The 17464-nt window shown below is 40.1% G+C and overlaps 1 protein-coding gene across 4 annotated transcripts in view, besides 1 other annotated feature; it reads right to left on the reverse strand.

Annotated features, from left to right (window-relative positions):
• TOX3 (TOX high mobility group box family member 3) overlaps positions 1-17464 on the reverse strand; it is a 111387-nt gene that overhangs the window by 88084 nt on the left and 5839 nt on the right. The window lies entirely within an intron of this gene.
• Positions 8662-9165: an enhancer, noted in NCBI's record as "NANOG hESC enhancer chr16:52567073-52567576 (GRCh37/hg19 assembly coordinates)". NCBI's record gives its function as "activates a minimal SCP1, AML or CMV promoter by ChIP-STARR-seq in primed H9 embryonic stem cells {active_cell/tissue: H9 hESC(primed)}" and the evidence as "EXISTENCE:reporter gene assay evidence [ECO:0000049][PMID:30033119]".

Raw genomic sequence — 17464 nt, forward strand, 5'->3', positions numbered from 1 at the left:
ACAAAGTCTCTTAATGAGCATTGAAAAGATTTCAGCATTCACTGAACAAGACATAAAGCAAATGAACTCTTCAGTGCCCTCCCCTTCCCACAGAGGGCTGAAAGGGACTCACTCTTGTTACAAGAACACGGCCACTCCTCCCTCTCTTCCTCTTCCCAGTCCATCCCTCACCCCAGTTTCAGCCACCATCCAAAAAGAAATCGCAGCATGGCCCTTGAAGCACATTGAGCTTAAAAGTGCCTAGAAGATAAAGCCTAAACTTCAGCACGACAGGCAAGACCTTTCAAAATCTGGCCTCGACCATCCTCTCTGGGTCTCCTTTCTGAGAACCCCTATTTTCTGCCTTTTCACAACTCCACACTTATGCATGATGCTGTTTTCCCTCCCTGGCTCACCCACCCCAGTGTTCTTCTTCTGTGATGGTAACCTCCCCAGAAAGTCTCTTGAGCTAGAGTGATCATTATTAAATTAAAAAAAAAAAAATCCTACTTTGTTCTATTCTGATTTCAAAAACCTGAAAGGCAAGATATTTGAGGGAAAAAAGAGAATATTGTTTTGTTGCTTTTTAAAAAATAAATTTGCAGGTCCTGACAATCCCGTGCTTTGTGTGTGCTGATCACACTGCAATCTAATCAGGTACAGTAAATAAAATGACTTGAGAACCTTTCTGACGAATGCAAAGGCTGATGATATTTTGTGGGTGGAGGGCTATTCATGTATCTTCTTTGAGTATACTAAAGATCCATTTAATTAAGTTTGGGGAGGGGGGTTCTCTATCTTTTCCTCTGTCCTTTTTTCCTGAAGCTCTCCTACTGGAAAGGGAATGGAAGAAAACCTTATGTGGAGTCCGGAGTGCCTACCTAAATTACTAAGACAATAAAGGACATACAAAAGAAGATAATCAAATGTTACTTTGGGTACTTGAACACTTGCTAAGAGCATGCATCCTGCAGTCAGTAACATTACCATCTATACTCAGAGGGCAAACGCTAATTTCAAATCCAGAGCAATGTCAAGGATTTATCACTGCAACCCAAAGTATCTTTGCTATCAAAGACAGTGGGGGCATGAACTACAAAGGCAATAACTAAAAAGAGGGGCTCATCTCACACCTCTACTCCTCTCCAATATTGGGAAGTCCATTTGAGTTCTAGAGAGTGCACATGCCAAAATGCAAGTGCGTGCATGCCTGCGTACACACACACACACGCACACCATTCCAACATTTTCCCATATTTTGTCCACTCCCTCTCTTCCTTGTTATGGGTAGCAGCAGTGATAATGCACTTTAATGGAAACCTGCCTAATGAACCCAAAAGGAAAACGATTAGGAAAAAAATATGCAATACATCGCATTGAAAGGTGCCCATAATTAAATTACTTGTTACCGTTTTTAAATAGTGCAAATATTAGTATGCCCACAAAGAACTAAAGGTTTGTTTGTTTTAATCTAGATCTTCCAGAATTGGCTGTTCAGGAACTGCCCATGTTGCCCAAAGTAGCTACTTTTTATAAGAATTTCCCACTGCCTTTGAAATATTCTCTGACATTCCCATTGGCTTAAGTATTCTCATACTTTTCTGCCTAAATTTGTAGTTTCCCAAGTTTAATTACCCCAGAACAATCTGGTCATCAATAACCAAATAAAAGAGGATGGTATTTTTTTCCCTCATAAATCTATTCATCAAGATTCGACCAAGCCTGCCTGGAATGTCCAGCGAAAGCTTCAATAATCAGGGAGAAATGAGTTGCAGAAACTCAAAGAGAACAGAATAGCCAAGGCAGGAGATTACGAAGCCAGGAGATGAGGGCACACTGAATTAAACATTCTTAAGCAGACTTACATACATAATGAATTGGTCAATTCTGTCCAATGTTTCTGAAAGAGATTACCCTTCCAACAAGCCAAATGAGTGTTCAAGGATGGTAGCTCGGATGGATTCCTGAACAAAATAAGTGTTAATCACTTTATCTCCCCCAATCTTTTTTGTGAAGAAGAGCAACTTTTCATTTCCATAAAGCCTTGAAATCGTTGGTCGGCAGGGGATGGGGGTGGTGGGGGAGGGCTGGTTAGAGGATACAGACAATGAAGTCCCTGAAAAGGGGGATTTCCTGACAATAAACCCCTGATCAGAGCCAGAGAGGGGACATTGTTGTCTTCAGCACTCCCCTCTCCTTTGGGAATTCCAGGCGTAGTAGAGAGAAGAGGGTCACAGTGACAACTGCTTGGGAAGGCTCTAACCAGGTAGTCTTTGCGATTTTCTGTTTGGGAAAAGCTGGCCTACAACAATACATTTTCTTGGAATGTGTTCTTTTAAACAAATTGCTACAGACTTTCTTAAGACATCCTGTCAATTGTTCCAAAAATGTGTAATCAGCTTATGAAATCTTTAAGCAAAGAACATTAAATGTTAGCATAAAATCTCATAACTAGTTATGTATTGAGATTCTCCTACACACCAGGCACAGTGCTGGGCACTAAACACATAGCAGCGAACAAACGAAACACAGCGGTCACTACTGTCTGGAAATCACAGTTAGGAAAGACAAAACTGCTTCTTAAATCTCTGTGCACTCCATGCCAGACACAGTAGCCATTCCATAAATATTTGAGGAATGAATGAATAAAAAGACTTCAGAGCTTGAGGTTCATGTGACTCAAGATTTAAAAATAAAAAAATAAAAAAGTAAAAGAAAAGAAAAAGCTAGCAGGTATACTAGAACCAAACACACAAAATAATGAGCCAGAGTGTGCTCCCACAATATTAGGAGAAATGGAACAAGAAATCAAAACCCTCGACATATTGCTCCTATTTATTATTTTAATATCATCGTTGCACAGAACCAGTCATTGGTGGTGCTTTAACAATTCCTCCTAAATAGCTTTGTGACTTAGTCCAAGCACCCAGAGACAGATGAGCCCCAATTCAGGCAAGTCCCCTGTTGAAGGACAACTATTTTCTCAAATGAACAAAGATCTTCTCTTCTCAATCCGCCAGATCACACAGCTTTATAAGTTTGAAAAGTCTTTTTGCTAACCTAGAGGTATTCTCTAACAGAAAGAGGGAGATGGAAAAAGAAAACATCTGCAAGGTGCTGAAACACGCGTAGATTATTTTACCTGATCCAGGAGCCTCCTTCCCTGGTGACTACCTACTCCTCAGAATGAGTGCTGGCCTTCTTAGCTATTCTGGGGAACACAATGATGGAGGCTCCTTTTAGCTCCATCAGGCCCTAGAGAAATAACTGCCCTATATTTAGATAGATGCCCTTTGTAACAAAGGAATAATTCATCCCAGTTAGCACTTTCTAAATGACAGAACCAGAAAGTTTTCGAAAATATTCTTCTAGCTCAGTGGCTCTGAACCAGGGGACGTTCGGCAATATCTAAAGACATATTTTGTTGTCACAACTGGGGGTGCTGCTGGCATCTAGTGGGTAGAGGCCAGGGATGCTGCTAAACCTCCTATGATACACAGGAAAGTTCCCCAAAACAAAGAACTATTTAGCCCAAAACATCAACAGTGCTGAGATGAAGAAATCCTGCTTAAGTTATACATTAAATAAAGAACAGCAGGGCATCTACTGGTGACCCCAGATAGTTCTGTTAAAATATTCTGAAGTAGGATTCTTCTCCCAGAGTCTATGTTCAGCAACTTAACCAGATGTTAAAAACTGACCCGATCTTAGGATGTTAACAATATTTTAAAATAATACTGATGGTAATGGTAACATTAATGAAATGCTTGGTATACAGAGAGTTATAGTGCATATTTACAATGACCCTATGTTGCAAATGTTATTAGTGTCCTCTAGAAGGTAACTGTATTAATCACATACAATAACTCTATGGAGTAGGTGGGTTTATAACCCCCTAGGAAGTGTGTGCTGTGGGCAAGACTTGATCTGTTTTTTTTTTCACCACCATCTGTCCAGCACCCAGCAGAGTGAAATCTCCATTTCAGAAATGATGATGCTGAGAGGCTCAGGAACATGCCAGAGATCACAGGGCCAATAAATGGTGGAACCCCAGTTCAAACCGGGCAGACTGCCTGGTTCCCTAGCCTCTCTCTCTCGCACCGTGCCAGCCGGCCAACTGCTTCATATGTGGAGTCATTGAAACCTATTAGACCTCTTGAGTCTAACCTTAGATAAGCAGAACCAACCTAAGGGGGAAGGAATTAGGCTGCTTTCCAAAGTTACCAAAAGTTTCCCAATATTCAAGAGACTGATTAAACAAACCAGTGACCCCAAGACAATGGTGAAGTACATTTGTATTGCCATGAGACACTTGAAAGCAATCTAAGAGGGTGGCTGGTTTTATAAGAGGTTAACTGCTTCTCAGTTTGAGCAAGACTCATGTGGCACCAGGCACTAGGCACCGGGCAGGCTTCCTGAAGCTAAAATGGCCACTTTCTCAAAGGACAAATGCCCTGCATGAGTGCAGAAACTCTTTGCAACCACTAGGGAGCTAACTCAGGGATCATGGGATTTACATGTGGACCAGACAACAACTTGGCCACCAGTCCAATGGATCCCCAGTGCCAAGTTAACCTTAGCACAGTCTTCGGGTAAAATCTAGATCAATGCTGATTATGTCAGGAGGTCAACTTTCAGGAATTAATACTTTTTGAATGATAAGAGAGTGCAAACATTAATTTAAAGTCTCAGAGAGTATACTAATTTTCCTGTTTTCATCATTTCAGTAGATTCTATAATTCTAGGGGGAAATATCCCATAAGAAATAAATTCTAGCAAGTACTGTAAATAAAGAATTGTATCCACCTTTATAAAAAGACTAAAAGAAGAAGAGATAAGAGCTTGTTTTTTAGTTTTACAATATTGACATAGTAGGCTTTATTTTTTTTTAAATGTGGAAATTTCCCTTTTAGAACGATAAGAATACTAGCCTGGACACTATACAAACATAGTCATTGTACTTATAAGTGCTTTAAGTATTTATTCATAGCCTGCCTTTCTCTACAAAGGAAGTGAGGTGACTTTTAAAAGCATATGTGATTTTTAAAAGGTAAGTAACAGGTGAATCAAAGCAAGGAAAAAGTAAATTTGAGAAAATAATAAAGCCTAGATGGCCAGCACACAGGAATGCATATCCTACTGCCCTAGACAGCTACTAAATGGGTTTCCTGTTTGACTCCAAGCTTCTTGGCCATCAATGCAAAGAAAGAACAAGAATGGTAAGATTAATGCCCAGTAAGATACAGCGAAGTGGATTTTTTTCAGTTCTTCTTGATATAGTAACCTAAGAAGATTCTCTGTAAATCATCATTTAAAAAGACACCATGAGGTGTAATGAGCTATACATTGTAAATAGAACTTTTTAAAAAAAATGATGTTCACGAAACTATTACTCATAATCCTCTCAATACAAAGTGAAGCCTTAATCAGTGTGCAATTCAATAAAGCAGAGAGGGCCTGTGAAGGCAACTGTGAAGTGGGGTGCCACATAATATGCCATCGTGAGCATTCAGCTCTCTCACAAGTCTGGCAGAAATCTCTTATCAAATTAGGTTATCTGGATGAACGGAAGGAAGCAAGGCATCTTCTTCATGCCATTCTCCTTAGATATATTATTTCTTCCAACAGATTTTATTAACACAAACTGGGCAGCAGGGACTTCAAGAAGGACAAAAATCCTGTGTCAAAACCATTACATATGTTGGCAACATTTATCATCAGGAAAAGCGTCCCAGGAAGTTGAATTCTAATGTATGTGTGGTGTTACAATGGAAATTTTAGTGTGCAACTGGAATCAGGCCATGAGTTTTGCCTGTCATCAAATGTATCTGTTAACTTAGGGTTGAACTGCCCCCCACCCCACTTTTTTTTTTTTTGAGACAGTGTCTCACTCTCTTGCCCAGGCTAAAGTGCAGTGCCATGATCTCAACCCACTGCAACCTCCGCCTCCCAGGTTCAAGCAATTCTCCGGCCTCAATCTCCCGAGTAGCTGGGATTACAGGTGCCTGCCACCACGCCCGGCTACTTTTTATATTTGTAGTAGAGACGGGGTTTCACCATGTTGGTCATGGTTGGCCAGGATGGTCTGGAACTCCTGACCTCAGGTGATATGCCCTGCCTCGGCCTCCCAAAGTGTTGGGAATGTAGGCGTGAGCCACCATGCCTGGCCCCTCTTTTTTTTTTTTCTTTTTTTTCTAACTACACCCTTCTCTTTTTCCTCTCTACAACTGAATGGTCTTTCTCCCTGATATAAGAATCTTCTAGATCACTCCCATCCATTGCATTCTTCTTGGTCTTCTGTTATCACTCTTCTTACTCATCTTACTAGCTTTTAACTTGACTACGTTTTCCTTTACTTGGTTTCTGCCTTGGACTTCCACAAGCTTCACCCTAATAATCATGCAGCCTTGAAAAACATGGAGGAAGGAAAATGCTGTCACCTGCCATCTTGTACCTGTTTAAAGCTCCACTGTTTTCAGTGTTTAAACTATGAAGAAAGGCTCCGATGATTTAAGCTGTATAGTCAAAACTACAGTGTCTTCTAGGAATCTAGGATTGAGACAAGATGTAAAAAGAGGAACATGTAATATATTATTTTACCCCACTGGCAATTAGAAATCGTTAGCCAAAGCCAGGATTGGGGAGGATATTCGAAAAGTTATTAATGCAGACAGAGCAAGGCTTTTATGCCACCAAGAAAGTTATTTATTATAAACAATGGGTTTTGAGTCACATGGACAATAGCTATTTTAAAAACAACGAATATATCCAGGAAAGGTGCAAAAATATAAAGGCAGGCAATCCTAGTTTGTGGTGCTGATCTATTACCACTGCAATGACTGTCAATAGTGACCCTGAGCAGAACTCAAACAGTTAAGAAAACTCACCACCTGTTTTCCAAGGAATTTTATTTTTGCTTAAGGTGGTAAGTTTGATACTAAATACGGAGGGTGTTCAATGTCAAGTTGAGGACATAGCAATTTACCCTGCAGGCCAGTGTTCCTAGTGTCTACTATTCATATTAGATTAACTTAAGTGGTGTATAAAAAACTTTTTAAAAGTTTAATAGCTATGCATTTATTGTATGGGTAATCTTTACACATTGCAAGCAATACAGGGTCGCCATATGCAATGGTGATACAAATTAAAAAGTGGGTCAATGTAAAAAATTATAAATAATAGCAGTGATAGGTAGATACAGCAGAAATGAATGTGGCAAATCTGCGAACACATTGCAAGACACTGGAAGTGTTCAGAAGGAAAATGGTAGCTGTCTAAGCTATCCTTTAGAAGATTAAACCAGAAGTAAAGCATAGATTCCATTGAAGGTGAGAAAAGATGACAAGCAGGGAGAGAGGCCTGGGCTAGGATACTGATGGCTGAAAGAAAAGAAAAAGATTATCAGAAGCATAATAAAGAAGACATGAAGACTCCCTGGACTAAGGGAATGAAAGAAGCCAAGTAATCTAAATTAATTTTGAAGTTTTGCACCTGGAAATACGGCACTGAAAAAAACAGAAATTCAAAGGGGAGTTTGGGGGGCAGTGGGGATACAGGTTGCCCTCTGGCTTATGCTGGATTTGAACTGACGGCAGACAGGGAAGCGGTCATAGCCTGGAGAGAGCCACTATGCAGGAGATGAGAAATGTAGATCACAGTAGAGATGAGGATTTGAGACCCTGGGGTAAATTGCAAAAATGGCCACAATTCTCCACACCTCTGTCTATCCATGCCCTTCTGTAATGTAATTTTGTGGCTCCTCCCATCAAGAAATGGATTCTGCGTCCTCTCCCCTAGAACCTGGGCTGGCCCAGTGACTTGCTTTAGCCAGTAGAATGTAGTAGAAGGAACAGTGTGCCATTTCTGGGCCTGGACTCAAGGGTTCTTGTGTACTTTCCTGCTGTCCGAAATACTGCCATCATGAACAAGCCCAGGCTGGCGTGCTGGAGGTGAAAGATACATGCCAGAGAACTGAGGGACCCCGGTGGACAGCCAGCCAACCTCCTGAAGCAAACCCTCCCTGCCAATCTGCAGTTGACTGCAAACACATAAGAGACCCAGAATAGGATAAGCACTGCCCTTCTGAGCCCAACCTAAATTGCTGACATGCAGAATCAGAAACAAAATATGTGTTTTTGAAGTCACAAAGTTTAGAGGCGGTTTATCACTCGCGATAGATAACTGGTACAGACAACACGGGTCTGCCTAGAAAGTGAAAAACATACGAAGGCAAAACAGTAAGAGGTCAAGCTTTAGGAGGATATTCCCAATTCCTAGGAAGAAGGGGGAAAGCTGTAGACAAGACAACAGGGCAATGGCAATCAGAAACATTCAAGTATATAATATCAGGGAACCAGGAACATGGGGGCAGGGGACACAGAGGATAAAAGTGGGGGTAGGAGAAGTCAAGGACTCATCAGGGAAGTATAGCACTGGGCTTAGCAGAGAATCTGCCTAGAGAAGGCACTGGTATTTTTGCATGAATGATTGAAGTTTGATCTGTCAAGGCAGAGCTCGCTGGAGAAGAGTGAGAAGACAGTGTCAGTAACGTAACAAGGAATAGAAGTGGTCTATGGAGTGTTAAGGAGGGCCTGGGTGGGAAAGATATGGAACCCTAGGTAAAGATTACTTGTTTGAAGAATCATTCAGAGAGATGTTGAAGACGAGGTCAACAGAGTTGGACAAAAGTGTAAATGTGAATGGTCCTTTCTCTAGGACCCTACAATCACAAGTGTGGCTGGGACCATCCATGCCAGCATCACTTGGGAATTTGTTAGCAATGCCCACTCTCAGGCCCACCCCAGACCCACTACCTGTCTTTTATCCACATCCCCATGTGCCATTCAAGTTTGAGAAGCTCTGCTCTAGGAAGTACAAAGACAAGGAACTGAAGAGCATTTAATGACATCTTGAGAAAGTCATTCTGTTTTGAATTCCCTTTCAATCCCCCAGATAAAATAACACAAAGTCTTGCCTTGGTACTAAGCCATCTTCGACACCTCCCTAACACTTGCAAATCTCCCTTTTCAACAGAGTTCAACAGAGAGCAGAGCCTTAGGCAAGCAAGGTCTCCAGTGAGATTTGAAAAACACTGTTTACACCCCTTTTGTGTTTATTTTTAGGATTTTCTTTTATGTGTGGAAAGCAATCAGGTTTTCCATTTGCAGTAGTCTTAATTTCACATTAATTTATTTAAGAGAAAAAAAGAGGTAAATAAAAATATGTAGCATATAATAATGTGGATGCAAATGAGAAGACAGCAAAAGTTGTTACAAGTGAGGTGGCACTCAAAGCGAAGACTGGAAAATCTATAGTGGAAGTCAGAAGACATCTGGGCACATTTGAAGGTAGAAAGGCAAGAGACAGGAAAGATGGGAGCTGTTTGCAGAACAAAGAATATTCAACAGGCAGGAAGGACTGTTGGAAGGATTTATCCCAGAGTAGAAGCTGCCCTCTCTGGGCCTGGAAGAAAGAAAGATCTGGTCCCTGAATGGGTGAGGATGACAAATCAGAGATCTAAGGCAGATAATATCAAATTCTTCATAAGTAAAAGATTGGAGGTCCCCTCTAAAATGAGGGTAGGTTGGTTTGACTGGGACTGCAAAAGAGTATGAAAGACTTGGAATATCCATTGTGGACAATGACCAAGAGAACAAACAGATGAAAAGGATTCCGCAGCAAAGGCCCAGGGACAGTCAGGCAGCATTAATTTTTAGTAAGGAAAATGGACACAGTTTATCCCAAAGCTGAGAAATGAAACTCTAAGGCTGACACAAAAAATACAACAGCAAAGAAAGGGGGCAGAGGAGATTAGGTAGTAGTGGCAAGCATAGCTGACAAGTCCTCATAGTCAAGGTTACATACAAAGTCAAAGGTTGGCTAGGTGCAGTGGCTCATGTCTGTAATTCCAACTCTTTGCAGGGCCATGGCGAGAGGATCACTTGAGGCCAGGAGTTCAAGACCAGTCTGGTCAACATAGTGAGACCCCATCTCTACAAAAATATTAAAAATTAGCTGGGTATGGGGTGTGCACTTGCAGTCCTAGCTACTCAGGAAGCTAAATCAGGAGGTTTGCTTGAACCCAGGAGTTTGAGGCTGCAGTGGCTATGATCACACCACTGCACTCCAGCCGGGGCAACACAACAAGACCCTGACTCTTAAAAAAAACAAAAAAGAGTTAATGGAAAAGGCCAGTAGACTGGACTCTGGGAACAAGATTCTCAGTGGATATAGGGATATAAGAAGTGAGAAATAAACTAGGTTTGATCAAAAAGGAAAAACATCATGTTTTTAAAAAACTGGTTTTTAAAATGTCAACTAAATATTAACTAGTGTTCAAAATTTTGTTACCAAGAGTTGGGACTTGATAAATGGCACTACAAAAACTCAGGAAAAATTTTGAAAAGAAGAGAAATTTGGGCCTAAAATGCAGGTAATCAATTAAAATTAGGACATAATGATGTGTGGTTCTTGCAAAGAACATAAATCACTGGGTATTTTAAGTGTGCCCAAAATAAAATCCCAAAACTGAAGAAAGGCCTGAAAAGATATAAATCTTATTACAGTGTGTCTCTCTCACCAAAAGAGGATCATCCAAGAAGCACATAAAAACTAAAACTTTGAAGTTTAGGAAAAACAAGAACACTACAGAGTATACATAAAATTTCAAACTTGGAGATACCCAAGAAGGGTTTCTCAGACCTCACCCATCGCTCACTCACACACAGCACACTTGCTGAACTACCTGGTGTCCCTTCCTCTCCACTCACTCCTTCCACAGTAATTGAGAGTTTCACTGGGCACATGGCCAGCCACAATATAAAGTACATTTCCTGAGTACCCAAGTGTGGCCATGTGATGAAGGCTAGCCAGTGAGATATAAGCAAAGTGGCATGTGGCAGCTTCTGGAAACCTCCGTTTGCCCTTGATCCCCTTCAATCCCCTTCGTCCTTCTTGCTGGTCAAACCATGGAGGTTGACTAGAGGTCAACCTTGAGCCATAAGGATAAGGGTCACAGGATAGCTAGAGGCAGCTTGGCTCTTCAGTGTTTAAGAAGCCTCCATACTAGCCTTGGACTACTTCCCTCTAGATTTGGTTAGGGAAACAAGAAATGAGTATCTACTTCATTTAAGACGTTGCTGTTCAAGATTTTTTCTATTACATGTAAGTTGAACCCTAATGTACCCTCTTTGCTATTATGGGGGCCTCCTATTCCTTGACCATTTCTTCAATGGCCTGAATAGTTGGATTAAAAGCAGTCACTTCAATACCACATTTCCCTCAACTCCTGTTCTCTCATCCCTGCCTAGGCAAAATCCACCACCAAGTCAGCTTCATAATCATTGTTCTCTTCCTGCCACCAACACATCAAATACTGATAAAAAAAATTAAAAATAAAATGTAAACTTAAACACTTCTAATAGGGATCATCACAACTGTAGTCCAACTCCTTGAAAATGGACAAGTGACTTCACTGCTGCATTCCTATTGCCTAGAAGTGTCTGACCCATACTATGTCAACACATATTCACTCAAATACTAAACTACAACCAGATCTTCTGCTCAACAGTATTTTTATTCATCTCTAGTTCACTTCTTACCACATTTTATGTGCCAGGCACTTCTCTAAATGTGAGATGTACCATGTGCATCAAAGTAAATACACCCCCTATCCTCATGAAGTTTACATTTCAGTGGAAAGAGATCAACAAGAGCAGATGAATAAATGAATAATCAAGAAATTCAAATAGGGTACATGCTATGAACAAAATTATGAAGGTAGAGAGATATTAATTAGAGAGATGGGGAAAAGGATATTTTAGAAATTGAGATTTTTTTAATGGTCAGGACATACTTGAAGGTGATATCTGGGCTCAGACATAGGTGCTGAGAAGAGGCCAGCCAAGTGAAGACATTTGGGGAGAGGGCTCTAGACAGAGAGAATATCAAGTTCAAAAAGATGGGATGAAGGCTGGTACCGTTAAAACACATAAAGCGAGGGTAGAGGGGAGGAGTGGTAAGAAAATGAGGTAGGAAAAGTACACAGGGATAGATCTCAGGCTTGTCAATCAATTCCCATGCCCATACATATTGTTCTCTCTCTCTCTCCTCTCTTCCCCAACATCTTTTCTACTGAAATAGATATACACTATATATATATATATATATATATATATATATATATATATATATATATATACATGTGTATATATAGAACAAGATATATTTCTCACTCTATATCCATACAGCCACTGAGAATCTTATTCCCATAGTCCAATCCACTGGCCCTTTTCCTTAACTCTTGACATTTTTAAGAGTCAAGGTCTTGCTGTGTTTCCCAGGCTGGAAGTGCAGTGGTGTGTGTGTCTGTGTGTGTGTGTGTGTACATATATATGTATATATACACATGTGTGCACATATTTACATATTTTATATATATATGAATCTTCAGCCATCTTCCCTTTCTTTCCTATTATCACAAAGAAATAGTTACCAAGGCTTCATTTAAGGGCTAACTCTCCTTTATCTACAGTGTTCGTTCCAACAGCAACTGACCACCCAATCCATCATTCAATAGCTCTCTCACTCTCTCTCTAATCTCTTCTTCAAACATGTTCAGACATTGTCTTGAAAATATCTTCTCATTAGCCCCACTTCAAAATGTCACCCTCTACCTATACACACATATATGTATGTAAACACATACATATGCAAATGTACCGAGACACACACATACACAGTTTACTAGTACCTACTCAATACAACCTAGGATCTTTCACCAGACATTCTAGTGTCTCCACAGTTTGTTCTCAACCAACCACATCTCCCACCATGGAAAGAGAAAATCTCATATCCATAGAATATCCAGGTGACCTATAGGTTTCTTGAAGGCAGACCACATCCAATCTCAGCCTCAACAAGAAGGGCGTTCCTAATATAAACAATATTTATGATATTTACATTACATAAGCACAGGCTCATTTTGGTTTCCACAAAGAATAATAATAAACATAGACAATGGAAATCCTCAGAAATCTTCAAAATCATCAAGCTTCACTCCAGTTAGCCGTTTCAATGGACTTTGCTTTCCTATCCTACACCCACATTCTCTCATTGTGACATCAGCACTTTGTTTTTCCTCCAAAGAACCACTGCTCCATACTCTTAGCTCCTGTGGCTTCCAAGAAGATGACAGTGTCCAGCTCCCCCACTGGTATGCCTACGTGGCTACGAGCCTGGGCATGGGACCCAAGTCTATCCAATGAGACTTGATCCAGAAAAGCTGCTGAAACATGCAAGAAAGAATCTCTCCCTCTTGAAGAGGCTGAGCTGTGAGAATGTAACTTGGAGCTGCTGCTGGACAACTTCCCACTACTTGAGTACAGCCTGGCTGATATGATAAAAAAAAAAAAAAAAAAAAAAGAAAGAAAAAGAAAAAAACAGATGAAAGCAGAGCTAATATAAGAAAGTCTTGATAGCATCCCTTGAGACTCTAGATCCAGCTATGCCTGAAACAAAACTTACAATCCCTTTTCTATTTAACTCAGTTTGACTGAAGTCTTTTTCTCACTTGCAACCAAAGCATTTTTACTAAAACAATCATTTTAACCACTTTTCCATTAAACATTTTTATTAGAATTTTTAAATAAGTCAAATAATAAGGGTTGAATCTCTCATTAAAGATAAGTTGGCATCAAGGAGCAGCACGATGGATCTACCGAGTATATTTTATTAACTGTTTGATATTTCTAGATTTAACTCATCCCCTTTTGAAGAAGATCAACTTCCAACCAATCATACATATTTAATAAAAGTTTTCTAGTCAGGTCAGCATTTTGAACTTCTACTTCCTACACCTAGGAGATTTTTTAAAGAAACTGTAGAATTTTTATTATTCTACAGTAAATCCCTTGCTTATTACAAATTAGCTGTAGAAATTGCTGGAAAAAATCTCACAATTTGGTACAGTTATACTACATCCATTTAAAATAAATTGAATTTTAAAACTCACTCTTATCACCATCTTTGACATAATTCTTCTGCATAAACAATTTAGTCAATGTAGATAAGGCTACATTAAATTTGCAACATTTGGAATAGAAGGACCCAGCTTAAAACCTCACTCCCCCAAAAGAATGAGTATATATCATTCAAATATGAATTTAGAGTAAAAACTCAAATGTGTCTTCATATTAGCCCATTTGTCTATCTTCAAATTCTTCTTTTACAAACAAAGCAAAATTGAATTAAGATTAAAGATAGAATGTTAATCATACAAGAAGGGCCATTTTCCAGGGCCTGGCATGTTTTACACAAGCATGAAACATATTTAAGAGAACATGGCCTCCCTGAGGAAGAGATTAAGGATACAAACCTAGGAAACAAAGAAAATAAAACGATCTACCTCAAAGGGATAAGATTAACCTGTGAGAAGCTCATGCGGACCTTAAATAAAAGCCTCTACTCCTTATATTTTTAAACAGGATTTTTCTTTTTTTTTTAGAGCACTAATTCCACCTTCAAAATATATTTGAGTTTGTAAGTATACTCAACAAAAATCCTGTCCTTTCTTATTAACCATACTCAAAACAGATTCTCTAAAATAGTTATGACACCATTAACATTTCATGAAATCCAAAACAAATGTGTCTTCCAAAAAAATAAATGTTTTCATTCATAAATGGCTAATATGGTTTTAAATTATGTTATCACAAATTTTGCATCATTCCCCCTTAATAACCATTTAAGAATGTTTCCTTCCAAATAGCTATTAAGAGAGAAAGGATGTTTCATCATGCATACACACACATAAACACACACTCCTTGTTTATGTCATTGTTTTTAATGGTGCAGTAGGATTTCCAAATTCTTCAAGTTTCACACATTCAAGAATGTTTCCTTCCAAATAACTATTAAGAGAGAAAGGATGTTTCATCATGCAAACACACACATAAGCACACATTCCTTGTTTATGTCATTGTTTTTAACAGTGCAGTAGGATTTCCAAATTCTCTGTTTCACATGTTACTTCCTAAATTACTGCCTCACTGACTGGGAAGTTGAATTGGCAACACCAGCCAATCCTCAGGTCCAAGGATGTTGTCCTTGCATTTCCTGTCTCCTTCCTCTTGAAGGACTCAAATTCATTTCATTCATCTGCTTTACTACAAACAGAAAGACTCCATCTTTGGTTGTTCAGCCCCAAACTCTCTCTTGAGTTCCAGTGCATGACTCTGTGAGAATATACCACTGAAATATCCAAAATGAGCTTGATCTGGTTATCTTTCCTCAAAACCAGCTTCTCCTCTCTCCGCTCTGCTTCCACTCAAGGTCTTACCATTCGTCCAGGCCCCAAATTCAAACACCCTCAATCGTTTCTGCTTCCTCTTTCTGCCTTCCAGTCGGGAGGTTCTGTTTAGTGCTTTCTTTTCTTTTGCATCCAAATTCACATCTCCTTGATTCAAATCCTTCCCATACCTTACCTCAACTGGGTGATGGCATCCTACTCCCGGTCTCTCCTACTCTTGCCGGGGCCTACACCATTCTACTCAAAAGGTCAGATCAATCTTTACAAAAGTAAAACTCTAACCAATCCACCGGTCCACTTAAAATTTTTCAGGCTGGGCGCAGTGGTTCACACCTGTAATCTCAGCACTTTGGGAGGTCAAAGGCAGGAGGATCACTGGCGGCCAAGAGTTCAAGACCAACCCTGGTGACACAGCAAGACCCTATCTCTGCAAAAAATAAAATGAAAAAGTTAGCCAAGCATAGCGAACACACACCTGTGGTCCCAGCTACTCAGGAGGCCTGAGTAGCTGGGACCACAGGTATGTGTGCATCTCTTGAGCCTGGGAAATTGAGACTACAATAAGCCATGGTCACTGCACTCAAGCCTGGGTGACACAGCAAGACTCCATCTCAAAAAATATTTATGTGTATATATATATTCCTCGAATGCACTCAGTTGCAGACACCGTTGACTTTCCAACAGCCTTCTTCCTTGCTAACAGAGCATAACACTAATTAATTATGCTCACGTAGCAATGCCCAGCCTCAAGGGATATTGGATTGGTCTAAACTGATCAAAGTAATCTTCCTCTTTGCTAGTGAGTAGCCTAGGGTTGGTACGCAACCCATTTCTGACCAATAAGATAAAAGAGACGGTCTAGTGGAAAAGCTTTTCCTTCTTGCCAAGAGATGTACAGGAAGAGAAAGTACTCATTTGTGACCACTCCCACCACCATCACCTTGCTTCTTATTTTGTGTGTTTTCATGTGACGATGTGACACCCAGAGCTACAGCAGCCAACTTGTAGCCATGGGAAGACTGATAAAACTCCAAGGATAGCAGAATAAAAAGAAAATCAAAGAAGGGCTCTTCAAGACATGATTGAACCATCCAAAACAACCTGGCACTGCCAACCCAAAGACTTCTTTGAAGGTAAACAAGTGTCTTTTATGGTTTATGCCACCATTTGTTGAGTTTTCTGTTCTCTGCAGCCCAAAGCACTCTAACTGATAAACTTAGAAAGAGCAAACTCTTGACCTTAGAAGGCCCTCTGCTTGATGTGCTACTCAAAGTGTAGTCTACAGACCCACAACCTTAGCATTGCCTGGGAGCCCAGCCCTGGGCCCATGAATCAGAATCTCCAAGGGTAAAGTCCAAAAGCCTGTGTTATAACAAGCTCCCAGGTGGTTCTTGTGCATGGTAAAGTTTGAGAAACACTGCCCTACAAAATGATCACAAATTATTTTTTACCATCTCAGCTACTACCGTACATAGCATGAGATGCACTTGATCTGCAATTTGTCTGGTGGCAGTAACCTTTCCGGGTTTGAGCATCATTTGTTGCTCCTTTAGTTTCTTCTCCTCTTAATCAAAATCTTCAAACTTGAAGCCTTCAGGTCCTGAGAGGATTACAAAGGTCTGAATATGAGACAGGCTGTGAAACAGGCCGTGATGAACTATGGGGTACAGGCACATCTGAAGGACACCGAGCAGATGTTGCCATACAAGGATATTGGTTCAGTGTTGCCAGATGTCTAAAGAAAAGCTGGAATCCAGATTTATATGCAAAGTTTTTTAGATATAGACAACCAAGCCTTTTTTAATACTCTGCAGATTAAACAAATTTTCAAGTGGATTCACATCCAGCTGAGTTTGTGACATGAAGTAGATTCCTTGAAATATCGACACATACTTTGAAAACTGTGACCACCTACATGCATTGACTTCATTTGAAATGACTAAAATTAATTTTCTTTGGCTAACTATATGCTAGTCTCTACTGAGCACAGGGTCTTCATCAGTAGCCCAGCATCTGGAGTGGTCAAATAGTTTGTGGACCTCTAGTTAGGAGCAGCAGGACTGTTTTATCCATTAGTCACTATACACCACACACTTAGAACTGCAAGCTTCTCATGGGCCCACAACAATGTTTAAAATGTGAGAAAAAAATAAACTGGCCACACATCACCAGAAAACT

The sequence above is a fragment of the Homo sapiens genome, chromosome 16 (assembly GCF_000001405.40).
Source record: "Homo sapiens chromosome 16, GRCh38.p14 Primary Assembly".
NCBI classification, from domain to species: domain Eukaryota; kingdom Metazoa; phylum Chordata; class Mammalia; order Primates; family Hominidae; genus Homo; species Homo sapiens.